Consider the following 24,598-nt stretch of genomic DNA (forward strand, 5'->3'; position numbering starts at 1 on the left):
AATATCATACGGAATGGGCAAAAGCTGGAAGTATTCCCTTTGAAAACTGGCACAAGACAAGGATGCCCTCTCTCACCACTCTTATTCAACATAGTATTGGAATTTCTGGCCAGGGCAATCAGGCAAAAGAAAGAAATAAAGGGTATTAAAATAGGAAGAGAGGATGTCAAATTGTCTCTGTTTGCAGATGACATGATTGTATATTCAGGAAATCCCATGGTCTCAGCCCAAAAACTCCTTAAGCTGATAAGCAACTTCAGCAAAGTCTCAGGATACAAAATCAATGTGCAAAAATCACAAGCATTCCTATATGCCAGCAAAAGACAAGCAGAGAGCCAAATCATGAGTGAATTTTCATTTGCATTTGCTACAAAGACAATAAAATACCTAGGAATACAGCTAACAAGGGATGTGAAGGACCTCTTCAAGGAGAACTACAAAGCACTGCTCAAGGAAATAAGGACACAAATAAATGGAAAAAAAAGTTCCATGCTCATGGATAGAAAGAATCAGTATCATGAAAATGGCCCTACTACCCAAAGTAACTTGTAGATTCAATGCTATTCCCATGAAGCTACCATTGACTTTCTTTGCAGAATAAGAAAAACAAAAAAACAAAAAAACTACTTTAAATTTTTGCCAGGCTCAGTGGCTCACGCCTGTAATCCTGGCACTTTGGGAGGCCAAGGCAGGTGGATCACCTAAGGTCAGGAGTTCAAGACCAGCCTGACTAACACTGTGAAACCCTGTCTCTACTAAAAATAAAAATAAAAAAATTAACCAGGCATGGTGGAGCACACCTGTAATCCCAGCTACTCAGGAGGCTGAGGCAGGAGAATCGCTTGAACCTGGGAGGTGGAGGTTGCAGTGAGCCGAGATCATGCCACTGCACTCCAGCCTGGTGACAGAGTGAGACTCCATCTCAAGAAAAAAAAAATTATATGAAGCCAAAAAATATCCCATATAGGCAAGAAAATCCTAAACAAAAAGAACAAAGCTGGAAGCGTCACACTAACTGACTTCAAAATATACTACAAGGCTATAGTAACTACAACAGCATGGTAATGGTACCACAATATATATATAGACCAGTGGAACAGAACAGAGACATTAGAAATAATACCACACATCTACAACCATCTGATCTTTGACAAACCTGACAAAAAAAAGTAATGGGGAAAGGATTTGCTATCTAATAAATGCTACTGGGAAAACTAGTTAGCCATATGCAGAAAACAGAAACTGGAACCCTTCTTTATACCTTATAGAGAAATTAACTCAAGATGGATTACAGACTTAAATGTAAAGCTCAAAACCATAAAAACCCTAAAAGAAAACCTAGGCTATACCATTCAGGAGATAGGCATGGGCAAAGACTTCATGACTAAAACACCAAAAGCAATTGCAGCAAAAGCCAAAATTGACAAATGGAATCTCATTAAACTAAAGAGCTTCCACACAGCAAAAAAAAAAAAAAAAAAAAAAAAAAAGAACTATCATTAGAGTTAACAGGCAACCTACAGAATGGGAGAAAATGTTTGCAGTCTACCCATCTGACAAAGATGCAATATCCAGAATCTACAAGGAACTTAAACAAATTTACAAGAAAAAAAACAACCCATCAAAAAGTGGGCTAAGGATGTGAACAGACACATCTTAAAAGAGGACATTTATGTGGCCAACAAACATATGAAAAAAGCTCATGATCTCATGCCAGTTAGAATGGTGATTATTATGAAGTAGGAGGAAACATATGGTGGCAAGGCTGTGGAGAAATAGAAACGTTTTTACACTGTTGGTGGGAAGGTAAATTAGTTCAACCATTGTGGAAGACAGTGTAGTGATTCCTCAAGGATTTAGAACCAGAAATACCATTTGACCCAGCAATCCTATTACTGGATATATACCCAAAGGTTTATAAAGCATTCTACTATAAAGATATATGCACACATATGTTTACTGCAGCACTATTTACAATAGCAAAGACTTCAAACCAACCCAAATGTCCATCAATGATAGACTGGATAAAGAAAATGTGGCACATACACACCATGGAATACTATGGAGCCATAAAAAATAATGAGTTTGTGTCCTTTGCAGGGACATAGATGAAGCTGGAAACCACCATTCTTAGCAAACTGACACAGGAAGAGAAAAGCAAATATCACATGTTCTCACTAATAAGTGGGAGTTGACAATGAGAACACATGGACACATGGAGGGAAACATCACACACCTGGCCTGTCGGTGGGTGGAGGCCAAAGGCAAGGAGAGCATTAGGACAAATACCTAATTCATTAGAGGCTTATGGGTTGATAGTTGCAGCAAACCACCATGACACATGTATATCAGTGTAACAAACCTGCACATTCTGCACATGTATCCCATAACTTAAAGTAAAACCAAAAAGAAAAAAAGAAGAAAAAAGAATCCCTATGCTTATGTACAATTATTCATAATATTTTTCAATTTTCAATTTCCTGAGTTACTTCATGTATCTATTCCTTATAATTTATTGATACATTTACTTACTGAAAATTTATTATGTTAAGCTTCCAAAACAAATGGTAAATATTATGTATGATATTTCTTCATCTATTTTATACCTAATCATGGAAGCATAGAGGAAAGGGCATGGTTTTGAATCCAAGATGTCTTGAATTTGCATCATGGCGCATCCAATTATTCTGTAAACTTGGTCAAGACACTTAACCTCTCTGAGATTCAGTATACTAATATATAAAAAGGAATACTGATAATTCTATCAAAATCATTGAAATATTAAAAATAATATATTTTGTTTTTCACATCCCATATATATTGTATGATAGGTATTATCTAATTTAAAACACACGGATTCAAATTTACATACTTTAATCTGTGCTAACTTTGTAGTCAACATTTATGTAAATAATTTTCTGAAAAACAATATTTACATTATTATTAAATTATGCCTTATATATTGATTATAGCTGTTTTCTCTCCATCCTAGGCTTCCGTTAATAAATGTGAGTAATGTAAAATTGGTTTTAATAGATTCTAGACTTTTAAGATTCTCAGCCGGTTTCATTTTAAATATATATAACATTAATATATTTTTGGATTTTTATATATTAAAATGGCCAAAATAATTTATACATCAGTATGTCTGCCATGCAGCACAATGTGTGTGTATGTATATCTAGTCAAATAAATACTTAATTATTTTCTTTTTCTTTTTATATACTTAGCTAAACTGAAAGTACATGTCCATGTAGCTACAAATATTATGATTTACTATCAGAGAAATTTTCATTATCTTTGAAAGGGGAAGTTGAGCCCTAGTCCTAAGCTCTGAAGATTGATGTGGAGTACCAGAATCTGACTTACTTTGTTGGCATAAGGCAGAAGCTGAGTCTGAACTTCTCTAGAGACCTTTTAATGTCTCCATTCTTCTTCTCTGATTTTGAACCATTTATATGTACAACTTCATGACAAAGGGCAAAAGGCTGTGATGTAAGTTGGTCGTGTTGCTACAATTAGAGTTCATGAGAATCATAACTGAGTTCTACTCTGACCTCATTAGTTCTAGTTTTCTTTGTTGGATCTAATTGGTTCACACACTCTCTTACTTTCTGTATAGTTTCTCTTTGTAATTACTGCTACTCTTGACCTTCAGTGACTTCAGGCTCACCATAATAAAAAGATAAAAGAGCTTTCTATAGATATTGTCACTGGATCTCATAAATCCATAAGATCTAATTTCTATAATAAATACTTTGTTTCATATCAGTCCTAGCGGTTTTACTTTGTTAACTGAACTCTGATATACAAATTCTAGATATGTCCTGTAGATAGAAAAATCTATAAAGCAAAGTGATAAATAAAATTAAATAAGCAATGATAATAGAAAATGACAAAGGTTTATTATACAAGTCCAAACAATAAAAAAGTGGAGACTGCCACCTTGAAATAAAGCAAAGGATACTCAAGCCCCAAAACCCTTACTTCCTGAGAATATAGAATATGCTTTCATCTGCAGTGCACATAGCTCTTCCAGAAAATTTGATACTATTATAGTTTGACAATAAAATGTTTAACAAACTTTATAAAATAAAACCAGTAAAGATAAAACAGACCGCAAATGAAATATATATATATATATATTTTTTTTTTTAAATAAAGAAGAGATCCTTAGACTTGTGGCTTTATCCTATTACACTATAGTGCTCAGGCTAATAAGGAAATTTTTTAAAAAGTGAAAGTTTATAAAAAGTAATGGTAGTCATTAGGGTTTCTGGCTCTGCATGTAAGGAGCACCCAAGTCACCATCCATACTAAAACAAGTAAATATATGAACAGACTGAAGTATCAACAACTCTTCTGGGATCTTTAAGAGAGATATGGATACAGGAAGAATGGCTGCAACCAAGACTGGAGAGTCAGACAGAAAAACATAGGAAATCATGGCTTACTGGGGCAGAGACTAAAAAATGGAAATCACCAAGGAAATCAGCACTGGGATGGGAAAACTTAAACTGCAATTGACAAATTTTTGGAGGCTCACTTAGGACAAGCCGTAGAGTTATATACCCCAAGGGGCCCCACAGTTTTGTGAGTTTTACCTCCAGGAACTTGACCAGCTTATCATGGTATGTATTGGGGTGGGGGGATCTCTTTACGCTTCCGGCAAGGAGAGGAGAAAAGCAAGCATTTTAAGATACGCCAGAACACTCTGTTCTTACTAGGAAAGTCTGTCTTAGGAAAGACTATTTGACCAGAACCTATCTTGGCGGGATATTATAAAAGCCAGACTAACCTGGGAGAAGGGAAATACCCAATTCCAGTTGGCTCTAGCCTTTCCTGTGGAGGAAGGAAAATACTGAACTCTACCCCACTCTAGCTATCAATCCCCACCTCAGGATAAAAGGAAAAAATAAGAAACACTTGTGAATTTTCTAGTACAGACGTTTAGGCCCACTAAATGACTGAGATGTAATCAGAAGATCATAGGATTACAGAAGGCTTTCTGCTCCCTTCCATACTTTACTGTCATGTTATTAAAAGCCTATTTACAGCAGTTTATTTTAGCTGCTACATCATGCTCAGCCATGCAAAACAAAACAAAACAAAACAAAACAAGGCATACTAGAAGGTAAGAACAATTTGAAAAGGCAGAGCAAGCAGCAAAACCAAACAAGGTAGGAATGCTGGAATTATCAGACCTGGAATTGAAAATATTTCTAAATATTTCTGAATAATATGCTTAGGGGTCAAATGGATAAAGTAGACCGCATGAAAGAATACATGTGGAAAATCAGTAAAGAAGTGGATATACTAAAAAAAAGAACCAAAAAGAAATGTTACAGATAAAAAATTTTGTAACAGAAATATTAATAAATAATGCCTTTAATGGCCTTATTTATACTTATGGTGTGGCTCAGAAAAGAATCTCTGAGCTTAGAATAGAAACTTTCAAAACTGTAAACCAAAGAGAGTGAAGATTGAAAAAAAAAGAGAGAATATCTAAGGGCTTTGGAATAACTACAAAACATTTAATATATGTGCAATTGAAATACTAGAGGAAAAAAAAGAGAGAAAAAAACAGAAGAAATATTTGAAAACATGTGACAGGTAATTTCTTCCAATTTGTTTCAGACGCCAAAGCACAAATCCAAGAAGTTCAGAGAATATCAAGCAAGATAAACACAAAATATATATATATATAGACATATCATTTTCAAATGACAGAAAATCAAAGATAAGAGAAAAAATCCTGAATGAAACTAGAGGGAGAAAAAATACCTTTTATAAAATAAAAATGAAAATTATATTTAACTTCCCTCAGAGTCAGTTGCACTATCTGGTAACCAAGGCTGTAGACTGAAGTATTTAAAAGTAGTGAGAGAGCAAACATCTAACCTAGAATTATGTGTCCTAAAAAATTACCCTTGAAAACAGAAAATGAACTAAATACTTTTTTAAACAAAATAAAAACTGAAGTCACTTATTGACAAATTTGCCTTGCAAAAAAGGTTAAAAGAATTTCTTTAGACAGGATCTATTAATGTGGGACATTGAATCTACATTGAAAAAAGAAGAGCATCAAATAAAGAATAAGTGAATAACAAATAAAAACCTTTTATCCTTGATCTAACATATAATGGTTTATTCAAAATAAAAATAGCAATATGTATTCAATTATATATACTTATGTATGTATCATATATAAAAAATATAAACATATGTTATATATCCTTATATATAAGTAAAATGAATGACAGTAATGGCATAAAAGATGAGAGGGAGGAATTAGAATTATTTTGTTATCAGAATATACTCATACTACCCATGTAGTGGTATAGTGTTATTTGAAAGTGGGCTTTTACCGGTTTTCAAGGTATATTCAAACTCTCAGGCAATCACTAAAAAATACATAAAAAGAAATATAACTTATATGACAAGGAAAGAGAAAAAAAATATACAAAGTGCTCAATTAAAACCACAAAAGAAAAAGGGTAGATGACAAAGAGACAAAGGAAAAAAATAAAAAGCAATAATAAATATAGTAGATATTAACCAGAATATACTAATAATCACTTTGAATAGCAATGGTATAAATGCATCAATTAAAAGACAGTAATTGTCACAGCAGACCAAAACTCAAGACCCAGTTATATGCTGTTGACAAGAAACATACTTTAAATAAAAATATAGAGGCTAGTTCATGAGATTTAAGAAAGGAAGCTACCTCCATAAATAAAAGTGCAAGGTGATGCAGCAAGTGCTAATATAGAAGCTGCAGCAAGTAATCTAGAAGATCAAGATAAGATAATTGATGAAAATGATTACACTAAAGAACAGATTTTCAGTGTAGATAAAACAGTTTTATATTAGAGAAAGATTATAAATCAATGGAAGAAAAACATATAATGCTAACACTAATCCAAAGAAAGTGGGAGTAGCTATATCAATTTCAGACAGAGCAGACTTCAAGAAACATTTTTAGGGATAAAGGGCATTAACTAACAATAAAGGCGACAAGGCTACAAGAACACACAGCAATACTTGACATGTATGCGTAATACAGCATCAAACAACATGAGGCAAAAACTTACAGATCTGCAAGGAGAAACAGATGAATTCACTATTGTAATTGGAGACCTTAATAACCCTTGTAATTATTTGGGAGTACCATGAAGTAGACCTGTATAAGGCAAAATAAATGTTATTAGTGTTCAGAATGCTCCATTGACCAGATTTTTCTTCATCTCTCTCCCTCTTCTTGTGCCTCCCTATTCCTGAAGACACAACAATACTGAAATTAGGCCAATTAATAACCTTGCAATGGGCTCTAAGTGTTCAAGTGAAAGGAAGAGTCATACTTCTCTCACCTTAAATCGAAAGCTAGAAATGGTTAGGCTTGGCATGTCAAAAGCCAAGTAGGCCAAAGCTAGTATTTTTGCAGGAAAACATTAGCCAAGTTGTGAAGGCAAAATAAAGTTTTTGAAGGAAATTAAAATGACACTCTAATGAACACACCCATGATAAGAAAGCAAAACAGCTTGATTGCTAATATGAAGAAAGTTGTAGTGGCCTGGATAGATGAAACCAGCCACATCATTCACATATACTAAAGCCCAATCCAGAGCAAGGCTCTGTCTTCAGTTCTATGAAGGGTAGGAGAGGCAATAAAGCTGCAGAAGAAAAGTTTGAAAGCAGAGGTTGTTTCCTAAGATTTAAGAAAGCAAGCTGCCTCATAAAATAAAAGTACAAGGTGATGCAGAAAATGCTAATATAGAAGCTTCAGCAGGTGATCCAGAAAAATCAAGCTAAGATAATTGATGAAATGACTACACTAAAGAACAGATTTTCAGTGTAGATAAAATAGTTTTATACAGGAGAAAATGGCATTGAGGATTTTTACAGCTAGAGAGAAAAAGTTAATGTCTGGCTTTAAAACTTCAGAGTTGGACTTTCTTGTTAGGGAATAAGGCAGCTGGTGACTTTACACTGAAGCCAATGCTCATTTGCTATTTCGAAAATCTTAGGACCTTAAGAATTATGCTAAATCTAATCTGCCTATATTCTATAAATGGAACTGCCAAAGTCTGGATGACAGCGTTTCTATGCACAGCATAGATTACTGACTATTTCAAGCCCATTCTTGGACCAACTGCTCAGAAAAAAACAATTATTATAAAATATTATTGTTCAGTGACACTAGTCACCCAAGATCTCTGATGGAGATTTACAAGGAGATTAATGTTGGTTTTATGTCTGCCAGTACAACATCTATTCTACAATCTATGGATCAAAAAATAATTTCTAATTTCAAGTCTTATTATTTAAGCAGTATATTTTGTAAGGCTATACCAACCATAGTCATTCTTCTGATAAATTTAGGCAATGTAAATTAACAACTTTGTGAAAAAGAATCACCATTCTAGATGTAATGAAGACCATTTATGATTTATGGGAGTACGTCAAAATGTCAATGTTAGCATGAGATTGAAAAAAGTCAGTTTCAACCCCCAAAGTCAATGACTTTGAGGGATATAAGATTTGAGTGGAAGAGGTAATTGCAAAGTGGTGGAAATTGCAAGAGGGCTAGAATGAGAAGTGGAGCTTGAGGATGTAACTGAATTGCTCTAATCACACTATCAAACTTAAATGAATAGGGAGTGGCTTATGATGATGAGCAAAGAAAGTGGTTTCTTGGGATGGCATTTAGTCTTCATGGAGTTACTGTGAACATGGTTGAAATGACAATAAAAATTTTGGAATATTTCATAAACTTAGTTTGTAAAGCAATGATAAGGTTTCAGAGGACTGAATCCAAGTTCTGTTAGTAAAATGCTATCAAACAGCATTTCCCGCAACACAGAAATCCTTCACGAACGAGTCCGTCATTGTGGCAAAATTTATTGTTATCTTATTGTTTTAAATTTCCACAATGACCCCAAACTTCAGCAACCACAACCCTGACTAGTCATCAGTCAACATTTATGCAAGACCCTTCATCAGCAAAAAGATTAAGACTCACTGAAGGCTTAGATTATTGTCAGCATTTTTTAAAAACAAAATATTTTTAAATTAAAATATGTCCTTTTTCAAAATAATACTATTGTGCATATAGGCTACAATATAGTACAAACATAACTATTATGTATACTGAAAAACCAAAAATTTGTTTGACTCATTTTATGGTGATACTCACTTTATCACAGTCGTCTGGAATGATATGAGAAATATTGATGAGGTAGGCTTGTACTTTACCCAACAACAGCAGAATACACATTCTTATCAAGCTCATGTGGAACGTTTCACTAAGATAGATCATATTCTGGGCCATAAAACACACTTAAAATTTTAAAATAATAAAAATTACACAATATTTAATCTCAGAAAACATTGGATTTAAACAAGAAATAAATGACAGAATGATAAATTTTAAAATCTCCAAATATGTAGACATTCAACAACACACTTCTAAATAACACACAGACTAAAGAAGAAATAGCAAGAAACATTTTAAAATATATCAAGTTAAAGAAAAATAAAAATACAAGACAAAACAACATAAAAATTGTAAGGTACAGTAACAGTAGGGCTTAGAAGGAACATTTTATAATTGAATGCATATATTAGAAAAAAACAAAAATCTAAAACCAATAATATAAGTTTCCACCTGTCCGAACCAGAAAAGAAGTGCAAACTAAATCAAAAGTAAGCAAAAGAAAATAAATAATAAATATCATAGGAGAAATTATTGACATTGAGAACAGGAAATCAATAGAGAATATCAACAAAACCAAAAGCAGATGCTTTGATAATACCAATAAAATTGATAAAACTCTTATCTTGTTATCTAAATAAAAAAAGAGAAGAGACAAATTACTTTCAGAAATCATAAAAGTAAACATCACTTCAGATCCCATGGACAATAAAAGGAGAATAAAGGAATACTACAGAAAACTTCATGGTCACAAACTTGATAACATGTAGGAACTGGACTAATTCCTTGAAAGACACAATCTACCAAACTCACACAAGAAGAAATAGACAATTTAATTGAAGAAACTGAAAAAATAACTAATAATCTTTCTGAATGGGAAGCATGAGGCCCAGATGGATTCCCTGAAGAATTCTACGAAACATTTAAGAAAGAAGTTACTCCAATTGTTTTTACAATTTCTTTCAGAGGACAGAAGCAGACTTTCTGACTCATTCTATGAGACCAGCATTACTTTGATAACAAAATAAGACAAGGAAATTTCAAAAAAACTAAACTATAACCAATGTCTCTCATGAACATAGATGCAAAAATCCTCAAAAAAATACTATGAAGACAAATTCAATAGTGTATAAGAATTACACACAACAACCAAGAGGGATTTATCTCATTTAGGCAAAGCAATTTGAACATTTGAAAATTCATTGATGTAATTTACTATATCAATAAGCTAAAAAAAATCACATGATCATGTCAATATATGCAAAAAAGCTTTTAACAAAATTTAACAACCATTCATGTTAAAAAAAATCTCTCAGTAAACTAGAAATATGGGAAAATGTCCACAACTTAATAAAGTGTATGTACAAAACAATATTATAAGTAACTTCATACTTAATGATGAGAAAGTAGAAGATTTCTCATTAAGTTAAGGCAAGACTATCCCCTCTTACCACTTCTTCAATCTCATACTGTAAGTTCAAGCTAATGAAATAAGATGAGAAAGGGAAGTAAAAGGAGCACAGATTGGGAAGGAATAAATATATTTTTTAATTCACAGATGACATGATCATCCCTTTAGAAAGTTTGAAAGAATTGACAAAATACTCTAGGAACTAATAAGTGATTATAGCAAGGATTTAGCATACAAAGTCAGTACAAAAAATTCATAGCTTTCTGTAAAAAGTTTCTTTGTAAATATAAGAAACAAACAAGTGCAGTTTGAAATTTAAAAAATAATTTAAAAATAAACTAATAAAACATTTATATTAACATCCTAAATAATGAAATACTTAGGTATAAATGTAAAAATGGTATACAAGATCTATATGAAAAAATATAAAACTGATTAATAAAATCAAATAACTATACAAGTGGAAATACATTTTATGTTTATAAATAGGAAGACTTGTTGGGGAAAAGCTGAGTGTTGGGAAAAATGCTGAGGTAGGGCTTGCATGTCTGACATAATGTAAAAGAGTCTTGGAACATGTCTGGGGTCCAGGGTCTAAAACCCCTTGTGGCCTTTGGAACACCAAGCTCTGTGCAAAAGGGTGGAAGGGTGCCCCGCCACACCACAATCTAAGCCCAGGGCATAAAAAGCCTCATGGCTTGGATGGAATCCAGGGCTCAGGGCATAAAACCCCCTGTGGCCTCTGGAATGTGTCTAGACTTGCTGGCTCCTTGCTCCTAGCACTCCCAGGTTCATAGATCAATTGTATCTTAAACTAGAACATGTTTCCCATTACCTCAAGTAGCAGAACATGTTCCATATGCTTCAGAGAAAATGCTAAACCATCACAGCTGTAGATCATGCACTTGATACACTGCTTTCTTTCAACCTTCACATCCTCACCACCTGATTCTTTGTTTGATCACTAATAAATAGTTTGGGCTTCCAGAGTCAGGGGACTTTGCAGCCTCCATGCTAGCGTTGGCCCCCTGGTCCCACTTTATGCACTCTTGTCGTCTCATTCCTTTGACTCCACCAGCCCCCACAGCCTGGTGTTAGGTCTGATCAACCCAACAAAGACTCAATATTGTCAAGATGTCTGTCAATTCTTCCCAATTTGACCTATTGTTTCAATGCAATCCCAATTAAAATTCCAGTTTTTTTTGTGGACATTGACAAACTGATTCTAAAGTGTATGTTGCAGAGGGAAAGATGCAAAATAGCTAACACGATACTGAAGGAGAAGAAAAAATTTGAGGGCTAACACTCTTGATGTTAATACTCCCTATAGAGCTACACTAAGGAGGACTGTGTAATACAGGCAAAATAATACACATATAGATTAATGGAACAGAATAGAGAGCCAAGAAATTGACCCACATAAATACAGTTAGCTGATCTTTGAAAAAGAAGCAAAGGTAATATAATGGAAGTAATATAGTATTTTCAACAAATGATGCTGAAACAACTAGGCATCCAAATGCAAAAAATAAAAATAATCCAGACATTGACCTTTCAAGTCCAGAAAACTGTCTTTAGTAAAATAATGCTCAATTACTACAAAACAACACAGAAAAAGAGGAAAAGAAAATAGCAGAATGATATACTGAAATCTGTTTCAATAAAATCTGTTTCTATGTACTTTGTTTAAATATTGCAAATAAAAATAGGGCTTGTGAGATTGTATTTAAAAAGCAGCACCTACTTATATCCTGCCTACAAATAAATACAACAAAACAAAACAAAAAAACAATAAAAGAAAACTTGGAAATCCATAAAAAAGCAAACCTTTAAATGCATAGATAGAAAAAGTTATATACAATGTTAACATTATACAAAGGAAGGCTGTTATAGCTGTATTAATAGCAAAGCAAATTTTAGGAAAAAATAATATTTGCAAGGATTAAAAAAGATTTCCAAGATATAGGGCAGAAAATAATAAATAAATATTTGGGTATGCAAAATTAAAAACAACTTATAGAAATTTGGGTAAAATGTAGTGGACATAATTGTGAAGAGTCAAAGGACCCCTCAGCTAAACTGTGTCTGCTTCCAAATCTCTACACAACATTGATTTCTTTTCACACTACCACCACTATTTCCAGGAAGATATAGAAGGTAATATGCTGGAATCATATCTCTTGACAGTGTTCATATATATAATTATATATATATATATAATATTTGAAAGTAAACTTAGAACTAAGAAGTAAAGCACATTTGACTCTAGTTTCTAATACAGTGGTGTTCTTTGGGAACAATAATATACTAGCAACTTGGTTCCTATACTTTTGAAAGACAGTTTGACTGTTGTGGCCAAATTTATAACTTAAAATTTATCAGAATAGTGATGAAAATTAAAGTCTCATTTTTGGTTAAGCATTTTGAGTAAGAAAACAAGAATAATGAAATAGGTAATTTTTACATTTTAAATATTTCCAACTTTGTCCTTATCCATTTTAGCATGATCGTCATCTTGTATATTAACAAGATACTCAGTTGAATAAAATAACTTTTATTTGTTATTATTGCATTAGAAAATCTCTTTCTATAATGGTAATGAGAGAGAATTGAAGACAATAACCTCTGAAGCTTCAGTATTTCATCTTCACATCTACCAAAATTTTTAATTATTTAGGTTTCAAATTTTTTTCTATTTATGAGGCTACATTTAAAAATTGTATACTTTACTCAACAACAAAAGATACCTAGAATAAATAAGAACACTGCAAAACAAATTGCAGGTAAAGTTAAGAAGAATATTAACTTATTTATTAATTGAATAATAGTTGTAATGGGGATAATTGAACAAGTAAAATATGAGTTTATATTTGCAGAGAAATGAGTTTGTATTTTATTGAGAGATTAAGCAATATCAGACAATGCTAATAAAAAGCTATGACTTTTCTTTTGCTGTTAGAGATGAGGTGAAATCAGTCATGAGAAATGAATTATTAAATAAGTGTAAAAACAGGATTAAGGAAGAGTCATCCATATGGACACTGAAGTCACTCTGAATAATTTTTAAAAATATAGATGTTGAGTAACACAATGAACCAGGTGTGCAAATTATCACTACATGAAGAAGATTGCCATATTAGTGTGAATTTTCAAGGCTGATAGTGTAAATAATACCAGATTAGTTGTTATTTTCTCAGCATTTTCATGGTATTTTATTTGCTGCTTTGGTAAAATATATATTGTAATTATCATTGTTTACCTTTGGATTCTCTTTGTTCAAATGAATATGTTGAAATTTTTAGGTATGAATCTTGTTTATGGTTTATATTCTCTATAGAATCAAATTATACATTGAAGCTGAAAGAACCAATTCTATAAAGCACATAAGGAAGAATTGTATATAATTTGAAAATATAAATAACCAAATGAAAATTAAAATGTTAAATATTGACTGTTTTATACTTAAAAAGGTAGTTTGGCTTTTTTTTAAAAAAAAAAAAAAAAGAAGCAATTTTAAGCTGCAGAACTACATAGGACATCAAATTCCAGCATCATTTGCTTTGGGTTATTAATTCCAAACGTTAATAGGGACATTGATTTAGTAATATTCCTCATAAGAACAATGAAAACATCACCATCATTATGAAAAAATATAAGTTGCTGGGCAAGCTTACTTTGGAAATAAAACAGTGTTGAGGGCTCTCTTCAGCTATTTACCACGTAGCTCCATAAAAAAAGTCATGGTGCCAAATGATTCAGGATAAACGAATGAATGGAAATTTTAAAATGTTTAAACACAGAGAACAGCTCTCCAGAGAACGAGTGTCTTTTATTGGGTGTAATCTTCCTTAGGAAAGAATGAGCTTCTCTTAACTTGACTGATGTTAAGTGAACAATTGAGTTCCATTTCTTTAGGAGCAATCTGAAATAATCACTTTCCCCTAGAAGACAGCTATATTGGAAGGTTTCTTATAAGCCCATCAGCTAATGGTTCTATACATTATTTCATACATTATATGGCATGTTTAAAAACCCCAAATTAATAACTAATTTTTATTGAACAACTCCTACTCAAAGGGAAATTTAATTGCAATTTTGTTAGCTTATTGTATATCAAAGAAAAATAGTATTTTGTTAATGTTTAGATAATATAAATAGAAAAAATAATTATGGCTAACTCTATATCACAAAGAAAATTATGTCTTGTTGTTTAGGAAATTAATTTCTTTTTCCTCTTAACGTCTATGGGAAAAGTGAGTTGACTGGTCTTACTTTACAAGAAAAAAATTATAACTGAGAATACATTTGAATTTATATGAAGTTAACAGGACATTTATAAGAAATAATTCAAATAGTATAGAGTAATGCTTACAGTGCATATTTCAAAATCTATAAAATTATATGATACCATAAACAGAACAAAATTGTAATAACCAGCCATCAAATTCAAGGTCATTATTTCCTCAGTGGAATGAGTACTTTTTAATATTCATACTCCTTCTGAAATTTTAAAATGCATTATGTATTACAAGTTCCCTGCTAAAAGATAGTTTGAGCAAAAATATAGAACATCAGCTCTCTCTTTAATGAATCAGGAGATAGTCCACATTTATACATATATACATAATGCATTTATAAATAAACCACTAGTGAAATTACTTATGTTATCATGCATGCTTTAAAAGAATTTCCAAAGTAAATATCAATTTACATTATCTAAAAACATACGCAACAAATAATGCTTTACAAATACATATTAAAACAATGAACAAAACTATTAAGGTTGACATTTTTCCAATATTAGGTTTGCATATCTATATTTCTTTACAAAAGTAATTTATACTTATGCATTTGATTAGAAGGAAGAAAACTAAGGTCATTTTCAGAAAACAAAATAAAACTTGAATTGGATTTTTGCTCAAAAATGTGTATAGAATATTGTTTACAGTCTGACAGTTTTATAATAAAAATATTATGTGTACTGGTTGCAGTTTTACCATTTATTAGCAAGTTGTCAATTGAGTGAAAGTTTGTAAGTTGTAATCATTAGACCGTTTTTATAAAGTAAGTAGAATAATATGGTTAAGATTGTAAGAATTGTTGTTTCTTTCACTGTTAGTCATCTCTGAGATGGGCTCAGAAGTACAATATTAAGATTGTTATGTGCATAGCTCTGTGGTTTTTGTTAATTTATATAAAAATATTACAATGGTTTTGGCAAAATACATAATTTTGGAAATTATTCCTTTATCAGTGAAGCACAACAAAAATGATGCAGGGACTAATTTCACAATTGAAGAGACTTTTGTTTTATTGCACATTCAGAAAATATGTTTTATACAAATCGTGTTTCCTGTTGATTTTATTCAGTCTTGTGGTATATGTTATTACAATTTTGAAATTGAATTCTGTGTACTTTAAAATATGTATAAAATATAAAAGAACAAATCGTGAAGTTGTGGAGAAAAAGCAACCCTGGTACATGATGGGTTGGAATGTAATTAGTATAGCCTTTAAGGAAAACAGTGTAAGTCTCCTCAAAAAATTAAAAATTGATCGACCTTATGATTCAGCAATCTTACCTCTGGGTATAGATTAAAAAACTGAAATCTATATGTTAGAAAGATATTGGCACTCTCATGCTTTTTGTACCATTATTCACAAAAGTTAAGATTTGAGACAAATCTAAGTGTTCATCAACAGATGAATGGTTTAAAAATTTGGTGTATATACACAATCAAATTATATTTAGCCTTAAAAAAAGAATTAAATCTTGCCATTTGTGACAATATGGATTAACCTGGAGAGCATTATGATAAGTGAAATGGGTCAGACACAGAAAGAAAATTATTGCACAATCTCATTTGCGAAATATAAAATAGTGAAGCTTACAGAGGCTGACAATATAATTGTGGGCACCAGGGCCTTGGAAAGAAAGGGGGATGAGAAGTTGTTAGCCAAAGCATACAAGTTTCAGTTAGATAGGGTGAATAAATTCTTGAGATCTATTGTTAAGCATGATGGCTATAATTGATAATACTGTATTGTATAGTTGAAAATAGTTAAAGAGCAGATCTTAAATGTTCTTAACACACACAAACATAAATATGTGAGGTGACAGACATGTTTATTAGCTAACCGTGGTAGTCATTTTACAATATATACTTAAAACATATGTATACATATACCATTTTCTACCATAAATATATACAATTTTAAACTTGCAATTATAACAGACATTCATAATAAATTCTTTTAATAGAATCTAAAGTAAATAAATAGTTATCTACAAAGTAGTGTCTAAAAAATTTATTCGATTGAAAAAAGAAGAAAGTTCACATTATTTATTCAACTTAATTTTGTCAAACTAATATGTTAACATTTGGTACACTAAAATCTTTAGCAGAGATTAATTTCATTCATGTTATGAATATAATCTGTCACTGAATATTTATGTTTTTCAAATGTTATTTCTGTTATTTATTAAGCAGGAACTATACACATATAAATCTATTATCTGTATCTTATAAAATCTTATATATTTATGAATATTTTACAGTATGATATATAAATATGTAAAAATATATATTTTTATTTAAGATAGTAAAAATAGACTTTGATTTCTTAAAAATAGCAAATGGAAGGTGAATGGGAGTCAAAGTCAGTTGTTTATTTATTTACTTTTAATGTTTAACTATATATACTGATCGAAATTTGAATACCTAAAGCATGGAAACAAATCAGTGAATAAAACACATGAATAAAACCAAATATCTAAGAAGAAACCACTGTAAAAACAGAGCTATTCATAATTTTCTTTTAGAATATGATATTTGAAGCTGTTGTTTCAAAAGAATATTTTGTGAACTTATTGCAATTTAAACACTTTTATTTATTTTCAAAAAATAAAATAAATAGGAATATTTTGCCAAAAAAATTCATTGAGCTTTGCCTTTATATATATATACACATATATTTTTTGAACATTTCTAATGTATTTTCTTAAAGATGCAAGTAGTGTAATGAATTTTATGCACTTTCAATTGTAAATTAAAAGACATAGTATTATATTAATTTTTAAAAACCTATGTTAAAAAATCCTAGTTTGATGTATTTCAATATTATTTGATGGCATACTATTTTAATGTATATATATATACATGTATCATAATATTAATTAATTTTAATAACTGCAGTTCTTTTCACTGAAGTAAAAATTAACATAATACTAAAGATTATGAGAAGATAAAATTTAATGTGTTACCAACAAATGTATTTGGTAATATTATAAAGACTTGTTATTTTATGTAGTTTTTGTAATAATCCCTATGAGTTAGGCACTATTATTATTTACATTTTATAGATGAGGACACCGGTGCACTAAAATGATGAATAACTTTCCTAAGGCCACATTGTTTGATTTTCTAATCTTATTTTTTGCTCTAGGGACAAATTTTTTTTAAGGCTAATTCCTTTTTGAAGTGTCACTCTTAAAAGATTATAAGATATGTATGGAAGGACAAAGTTGGATGCATAACAAAACATGTCTCCCAATATTTTTGCCACTTAATAGGAAAGAACAAGATAGGAAAAAGAGTTTCAATATTAAGGTGTACACTTGGCATAACTGAAAGACAGAGCATATTAAACTACAAAATAACAGTGAGTAAAACTGAAATACCAACAAATTACTGTTTGCAGCATCTTGGGCTACCACTCCACAGCAGCACAGCTTCAGGAATTCATGAAAAGCAAATGTAGACAGAAAATCTGTAGAAGAGTAGACTACTAAAGGAATCTGAGCAGGATATTTAATAACCACCGAGAAGATTAAATTCACTCTAAACCCAAAAACACGGGAAAACTGTCTAGGCAAATTAGAGTATGGTCGACAGGACAGAGATTTCAAATTAGCCACTTGAAAAAGCACACTTTAAAGCTACAAGTGCTATTTAAAGAAGTCAGCTCAATTGTAAAGAGTTTTATGATTTAAAGGTTAGTTGTTGAAACACATAAATTATGTGTGCGGGAAAAATAGACAAAAATAAAACAAAAAAAACACCATTTAGCAATTGTGGAAGAAAAAAAAATAAGATATTGAGAGACAAAAGAAAGCCATAAATTGGGCATTCTCACAAAACCTCCCATATCCCCCAAACAAACTTAAACAATATATGTGTTAAAGTAATTGGGCTTTGTGCTTCTGACACAAGAGGGCACCATTAAACTAATAATTTTTGAAAAATTCTATCATTATAAAAATCAGTAAGAAAAAAGTAAAGTCCTTACACAGCAATTGCAGAACATCAGGAAATAACATCCCAAACATATAAAGGGAGAAAAAGTATTCACTAAAAACAACCCTAAAGAAGAAGAAAATGTAAGTCAACAGAACAGTTATACATAATCAATTTTCGAGGATGTAAAAACATGTTGAATTCGAAATTCAAAAACTAAAAATAAAAAGTAGACAAAAATGAGTATTGAAGATAATTTATTGACATCAGAAAAGTAAAAGAAAACATAAAGTTAGAAATCATAGTAAATTGTATAAGTCCCCAAAAGGAATAGATTCATATAAAATTAAATAAGGGACATTAAAATGCAGAAAAGCAACCAAGAGAAGAAAAAGGACCCCCCCCAAAATTTTTTTAAGTGGTTAGGTTTAGTATAAATGGAAAATTGGCAAAGACGCAAAAGTGTCTAAATTATCAGTTACTAAAGATAAAGATTTTTTAAATGCAAAAATATAAACAAATTACAGTATGTGTGTGTGTGTATATATATATATATATACATATATGTATATATAAATATATATATATATATAATTAGTCCATTTTCACACTGCTCTAAAGAACTACCTGAGAAAAGAGGTTTGATTGACTTGAAATTCTGCATGGTTACGGAATATATTTATATATATATATATATAATTAGTCCATTTTCACACTGCTCTAAAGAACTACCTGAGAAAAGAGGTTTGATTGACTTGAAATTCTGCATGGCTACGGAGACCTCAAGAAACTTAAAATAATGGTGGAAGGCAAAGGGAAGCAAGACATATCTTACCTGGTGACGGGAGAGAGAGCAAGATGGGGGAACTGCCACACACTTTTAAACTGTCATATCTCATGAGAACACACTCACTATGGAGAAACCGCATGGGATAAAACTGTCCCTATGATTCAATGACCTTCCACCAGGTCCCTCCCCTGACACGTGGGCATTACAATTGCAGATGAGATTTGGGTGGAGGCACAGAGTGAAACTATGTGAGTATATTCCAAGAAACTTTCCAGAAATAGAAACAACAGCAACAATCACATAATTCTGTTGATTTGAAAGTGGTTACTAGATACCTGAAAAAATTAACCAAGAAAAATTAACTTCAAATCATATTATAGTAAAAATATTACATTTCAAATAGAAAAAATGTATGATGACATCCAGGGAACAAAGAAAATAAAATAACTTACAAAAGCAAAAGTAGCCGACACGCATGAGACTTTTTAAAACCAGGAGGCAAACGGAGGTAGCAATGAGGCAGTATTAAAAGAGTATGAATAAATGAAAGAAAATGTGAACCACAGATGTTACATGTACCTCATCTGTCTTTTAAATATTAATCTTTGAGAAAAAAATGTTTTCAGCACATTTCAGACTTAGGAAAGTCTTTCCCCTTTGGCTTTCTTGAAGAATCTGTTACAGGATAAGTATTATTCAACTAAGTAATGACTTAAAAAGCTGGTAAGCATTTTAAAATAAATATATTTTGGCAATAGAAAAAAGAAAATGGAAAAGTTTATTTTTATATAAGCAAATGTGTATTATAGGATATCACAATAAACTGATAAAGTAAGTCATTAAACATTTAAAGACATTAAAACATAAGTAAAAAGTAAAGAACTTGAAGAAATACAAAACTTTCTAAATACAACAAGCAAATACACAAATAAAGAAAAAATACACATTTTTAGAAAATTAAATGTAGCAAATAAAAGTTTTAAAATGATAACATATTATTACAGAGTTGAGAAAAAAACTTATGATTCATAATAATAAGTTAGAATGAGCTTAACTCACCTGTTTAAAAAAAAAGATTTTTATTTTGACTCACAAAGAAGACATAATTATATGGCATATAAAAGACTCACTAAAAACAAAGAAAAAAGAAAAGGTACATAGAAAGTGTTTTTTTAAAAAAGGTGCTTCAGGTAACTGAAAACAAAAAAGAATGCATAGTGATTCTTTTTTTTTTTTTTTTTTTTTTTTTTCACAGCTCATTGACTTATGGTCTTTAATGAGGAAGCCACAATGGAGCAATTATTTCACTGATAACACATTTATTATTGCTCTAATTTCCTCCTTAGCTCTGTTAACTGTATTATTAAATAAATAGCAATACTCACAATTTCTTTTAAAATGCAACTAACTGCTATGTAAAGAACAGTGAAGTAAAATATATTTATAAAAAATGAATATTTGTTTACTTTTTTTTGTATTCTACTAAAAGACACATAGAAACTGTAGGAGTCAAAAAAAAGAAAAAAAAACACCTCTTTGTTCTCTAAAGGTTTGTTGAAAAATCAATTCACACAAGGCAAATTAATTAAAGAAAAACAATATAAAATTTATTAACATGTACACAGGTAACCTCAACGTGAGATTACTTAACCCTCAGTAAGGTGCAGAACCTTATATACCATCTTGGGATAACAAAAATAATTAGGGACTTGGATTATGGCATAATATGTTATGGCAGCAAAACAGGTAATGGCAGACAGGGGGTATTAGGCCTGGCTAGCAAAAGGGGTCTTGTTATATAAATGAAATCTCACAGGTGGCAACCTTCAGAAATAATATATAATATATGTTTCTTTCATCTCCTTTAATCTTTCCTAGATCTAGGTGAGGGAAGCCCTGGCTACATCAGTGCACATTCTCTATAGATGAAAATTTCTCCCATGAAAGGTAGCTTTGTCAGGCTACTCCTGTTTGTTGCCTCTCTAAGAGCCATCTCAAAATATGTCAAAAAAATATATATTGGGGTAAAATATTTTTATATTTTAAGAAACCCACTCTGAAACTATAAAAAGTTTCACATATTAAAAACCAAGTTAATAGATTTGGAGAAGGCTAAATGTTGTAAGATAGAGACAGACAAAGGAGTGAAAAAACAAGTTGGAATAGGTGAAAGAATAAATTTAAAGATTTCACCCCATATCTTTTTGAGCCAGTCTCTTAGCCCAAAGAATAGATCAGTTCAGTTAAACAGCTGTATCTCATTTCAAGAGATGACACTTCCAACGGGGTAGACCTCCATAAATGATATAGGCAAACAGATCATTAATAAAAGTCATTTCTATGGAAACAGAAGTAAAACAAAGGTTAAAGTCTGTAGTGGTCTATAAACTAGCTTTTCTGGAGTCTCTGAAGCATCTTCGGATTGCAGTGGCAATCTGATAGATTTTTCTGTATTACAATTAGTATTAGGAGTACACATGAACATTCTGACTAGACCATACATCAGCAGACATGAAGACTGTTTATGTAGAAGTTGCTGTGATTTCTTCCGAAGTTTATTTAATTTGTGTAACTTCAGTTTGCAGGGCTTTACAAAAAGCATAGTTTCTATTTCTAGTGCTTTCAAGTCAGAAAAATGGAATAAAAAAGTTGAAAATGTTAGTTTTTGGACTTGTAGCTCAGAAAAAATTCAAAATACAATTTAAATTGTATGAAAATAATACAACCATAATAGGACCAATGTATTAGCAAAATGAGTTCTACAAAAGAAGTAACCTGATTATTTGCATAAAGTTCAGAAAGAATAGTAGTTGTCTATGCAGTTTCTCTTTAAATTATCTTTACTATAACTTTTTTATAGGGAGACTAATATTAGACTTTTAAAATCCTCAAGGATAAGAAGCCAAGCAAGGGGGAGGAGCCAAGATGGCCGAATAGGAACAGCTCCAGTCTACAGCTCCCAGCGTGAGCAACGCAGAAGACGGGTGATTTCTGCATTTCCATCTGAGGTACTGGGTTCATCTCCCTAGGGAGTGCCAGACAGTGGGCGCAGGTCAGTGGGTGTGTGCACCGTGCGCCAGCCGAAGCAGGGCGAGGGATTGCCTCACTTGGGAAGCACAAGTGGTCAGGGAATTCCCTTTCTGAGTCAAAGAAAGGGGTGACGGACAGCACCTGGAAAATCGGGTCACTCCCACCTGAATACTGCGCTTTTCTGACTGGCTTAAAAAACGGCGCACCACGAGATTATATCCCGCACCTGGCTCAGAGGGTCCTATGCCCACGGAGTCTCGCTGATTGCTAGCACAGCAGTCTGAGATCAAACTGCAAGGCAGCAGTGAGGCTGGGGGAGGGGCGCCCGCCATTGCCCAGGCTTGATTAGGTAAAAAAAGCAGCCGGGAATCTCGAACTGGGTGGAGCCCACCACAGCTCAAGGAGGCCTGCCTGCCTCTGTAGGCTCCACCTCTGGGGGCAGGGCACAGACAAACAAAAAGACAGCAGTAACCTCTGAAGACTTAAATGTCCCTGTCTGACAGCTTTGAAGAGAGCAGTGGTTCTCCCAGCACGCAGCTGGAGATCTGAGAACAGGCAGACTGCCTCCTCAAGTGGGTCCCTGACCCCTGACCCCCGAGCAGCCTAACTGGGAGGCATCCCCCAGCAGGGGCACACTGACACCTCACACGGCAGTGTATTCCAACAGACCTGCAGCTGAGGGTCCTGTCTGTTAGAAGGAAAACTAACAAACAGAAAGGACATCCACACCAAAAACCCATCTGTACATCACCATCATCAAAGACCAAAAGTAGATAAAACCACAAAGATGGGGAAAAAACAGAACAGAAAAACTGGAAACTCTAAAAAGCAGAGTGCCTCTCCTCCTCCAAAGGAACGCAGTTCCTCAACAGCAAGGGAACAAAGCAGGATGGAGAATGACTTTGACGAGCTGAGAGAAGAAGGCTTCAGACGATCAAATTACTCTGAGCTACGGGAGGACATTCAAACCAAAGGCAAAGAAGTTGAAAACTTTGAAAAAAATTTAGAAGAATGTATAACTAGAATAACCAATACAGAGCAGTGCTTAAAGGAGCTGATGGAGCTGAAAACCAAGGCTTGAGAACTACGTGAAGAATGCAGAAGCCTCAGGAGCCGATGCAATCAACTGGAAGAAAGGGTATCAGCAATGGAAGATGAAATGAATGAAATGAAACGAGAAGGGAAGTTTAGAGAAAAATGAATAAAAAGAAATGAGCAAAGCCTCCAAGAAATATGGGACTATGTGAAAAGACCAAATCTACGTCTGACTGGTGTACCTGAAAGTGATGGGGAGAATGGAACCAAGTTGGAAAACACGCTGCAGGATATTATCCAGGAGAACTTCCCCAATCTAGCAAGGCAGGCCAACGTTCAGATTCAGGAAATACAGAGAACGCCACAAAGATACTCCTCGAGAAGAGCAACTCCAAGACACATAATTGTCAGATTCACCGAAGTTGAAATGAAGGAAAAAATGTTAAGGGCAGCCAGAGAGAAAGGTCGGGTTACCCACAAAGGGAAGCCCATCAGACTAACAGTGGATCTCTCGGCAGAAACCCTACAAGCCAGAAGAGAGTGGGGGCAAATATTCAACATTCTTAAAGAAAAGAATTTTCAACCCAGAATTTCATATCCAGCCAAACTAAGCTTCATAAGTGAAGGAGAAATAAAATCCTTTACAGACAAGCAAATGCTGAGAGATTTTGTCACCACCAGGCCTGCCTTACAAGACCTCCTGAAGGAAGCACTAAACATGGAAAGGAACAACTGGTACCAGCAGCTGCAAAATCATGCCAAAATGTAAAGACCATCGAGACTAGGAATAAACTGCACCAACTAACGAGCAAAATAACCAGCTAACATCATCATGACAGGATCAAATTCACACATAACAATATTAACTTTAAATGTAA

General features: G+C 32.5%; 1 long non-coding RNA gene across 3 annotated transcripts in view; it reads right to left on the reverse strand.

Annotated features, from left to right (window-relative positions):
• LOC105377253 (uncharacterized) overlaps positions 1–19,785 on the reverse strand; it is a 66,503-nt gene extending 46,718 nt beyond the window's left edge. For all 3 annotated transcript variants that reach the window (NR_188408.1, NR_188407.1, NR_188409.1), the window contains exon 1: positions 19,701–19,785. This is a non-coding gene — a long non-coding RNA (uncharacterized LOC105377253). The remainder of the gene's footprint in view (positions 1–19,700) is intronic.
• Between the last annotated feature and the right edge of the window lie 4,813 nt (positions 19,786–24,598).

The sequence above is a fragment of the Homo sapiens genome, chromosome 4 (genome assembly GCF_000001405.40).
Source record: "Homo sapiens chromosome 4, GRCh38.p14 Primary Assembly".
NCBI classification, from domain to species: Eukaryota; Metazoa; Chordata; class Mammalia; order Primates; family Hominidae; genus Homo; species Homo sapiens.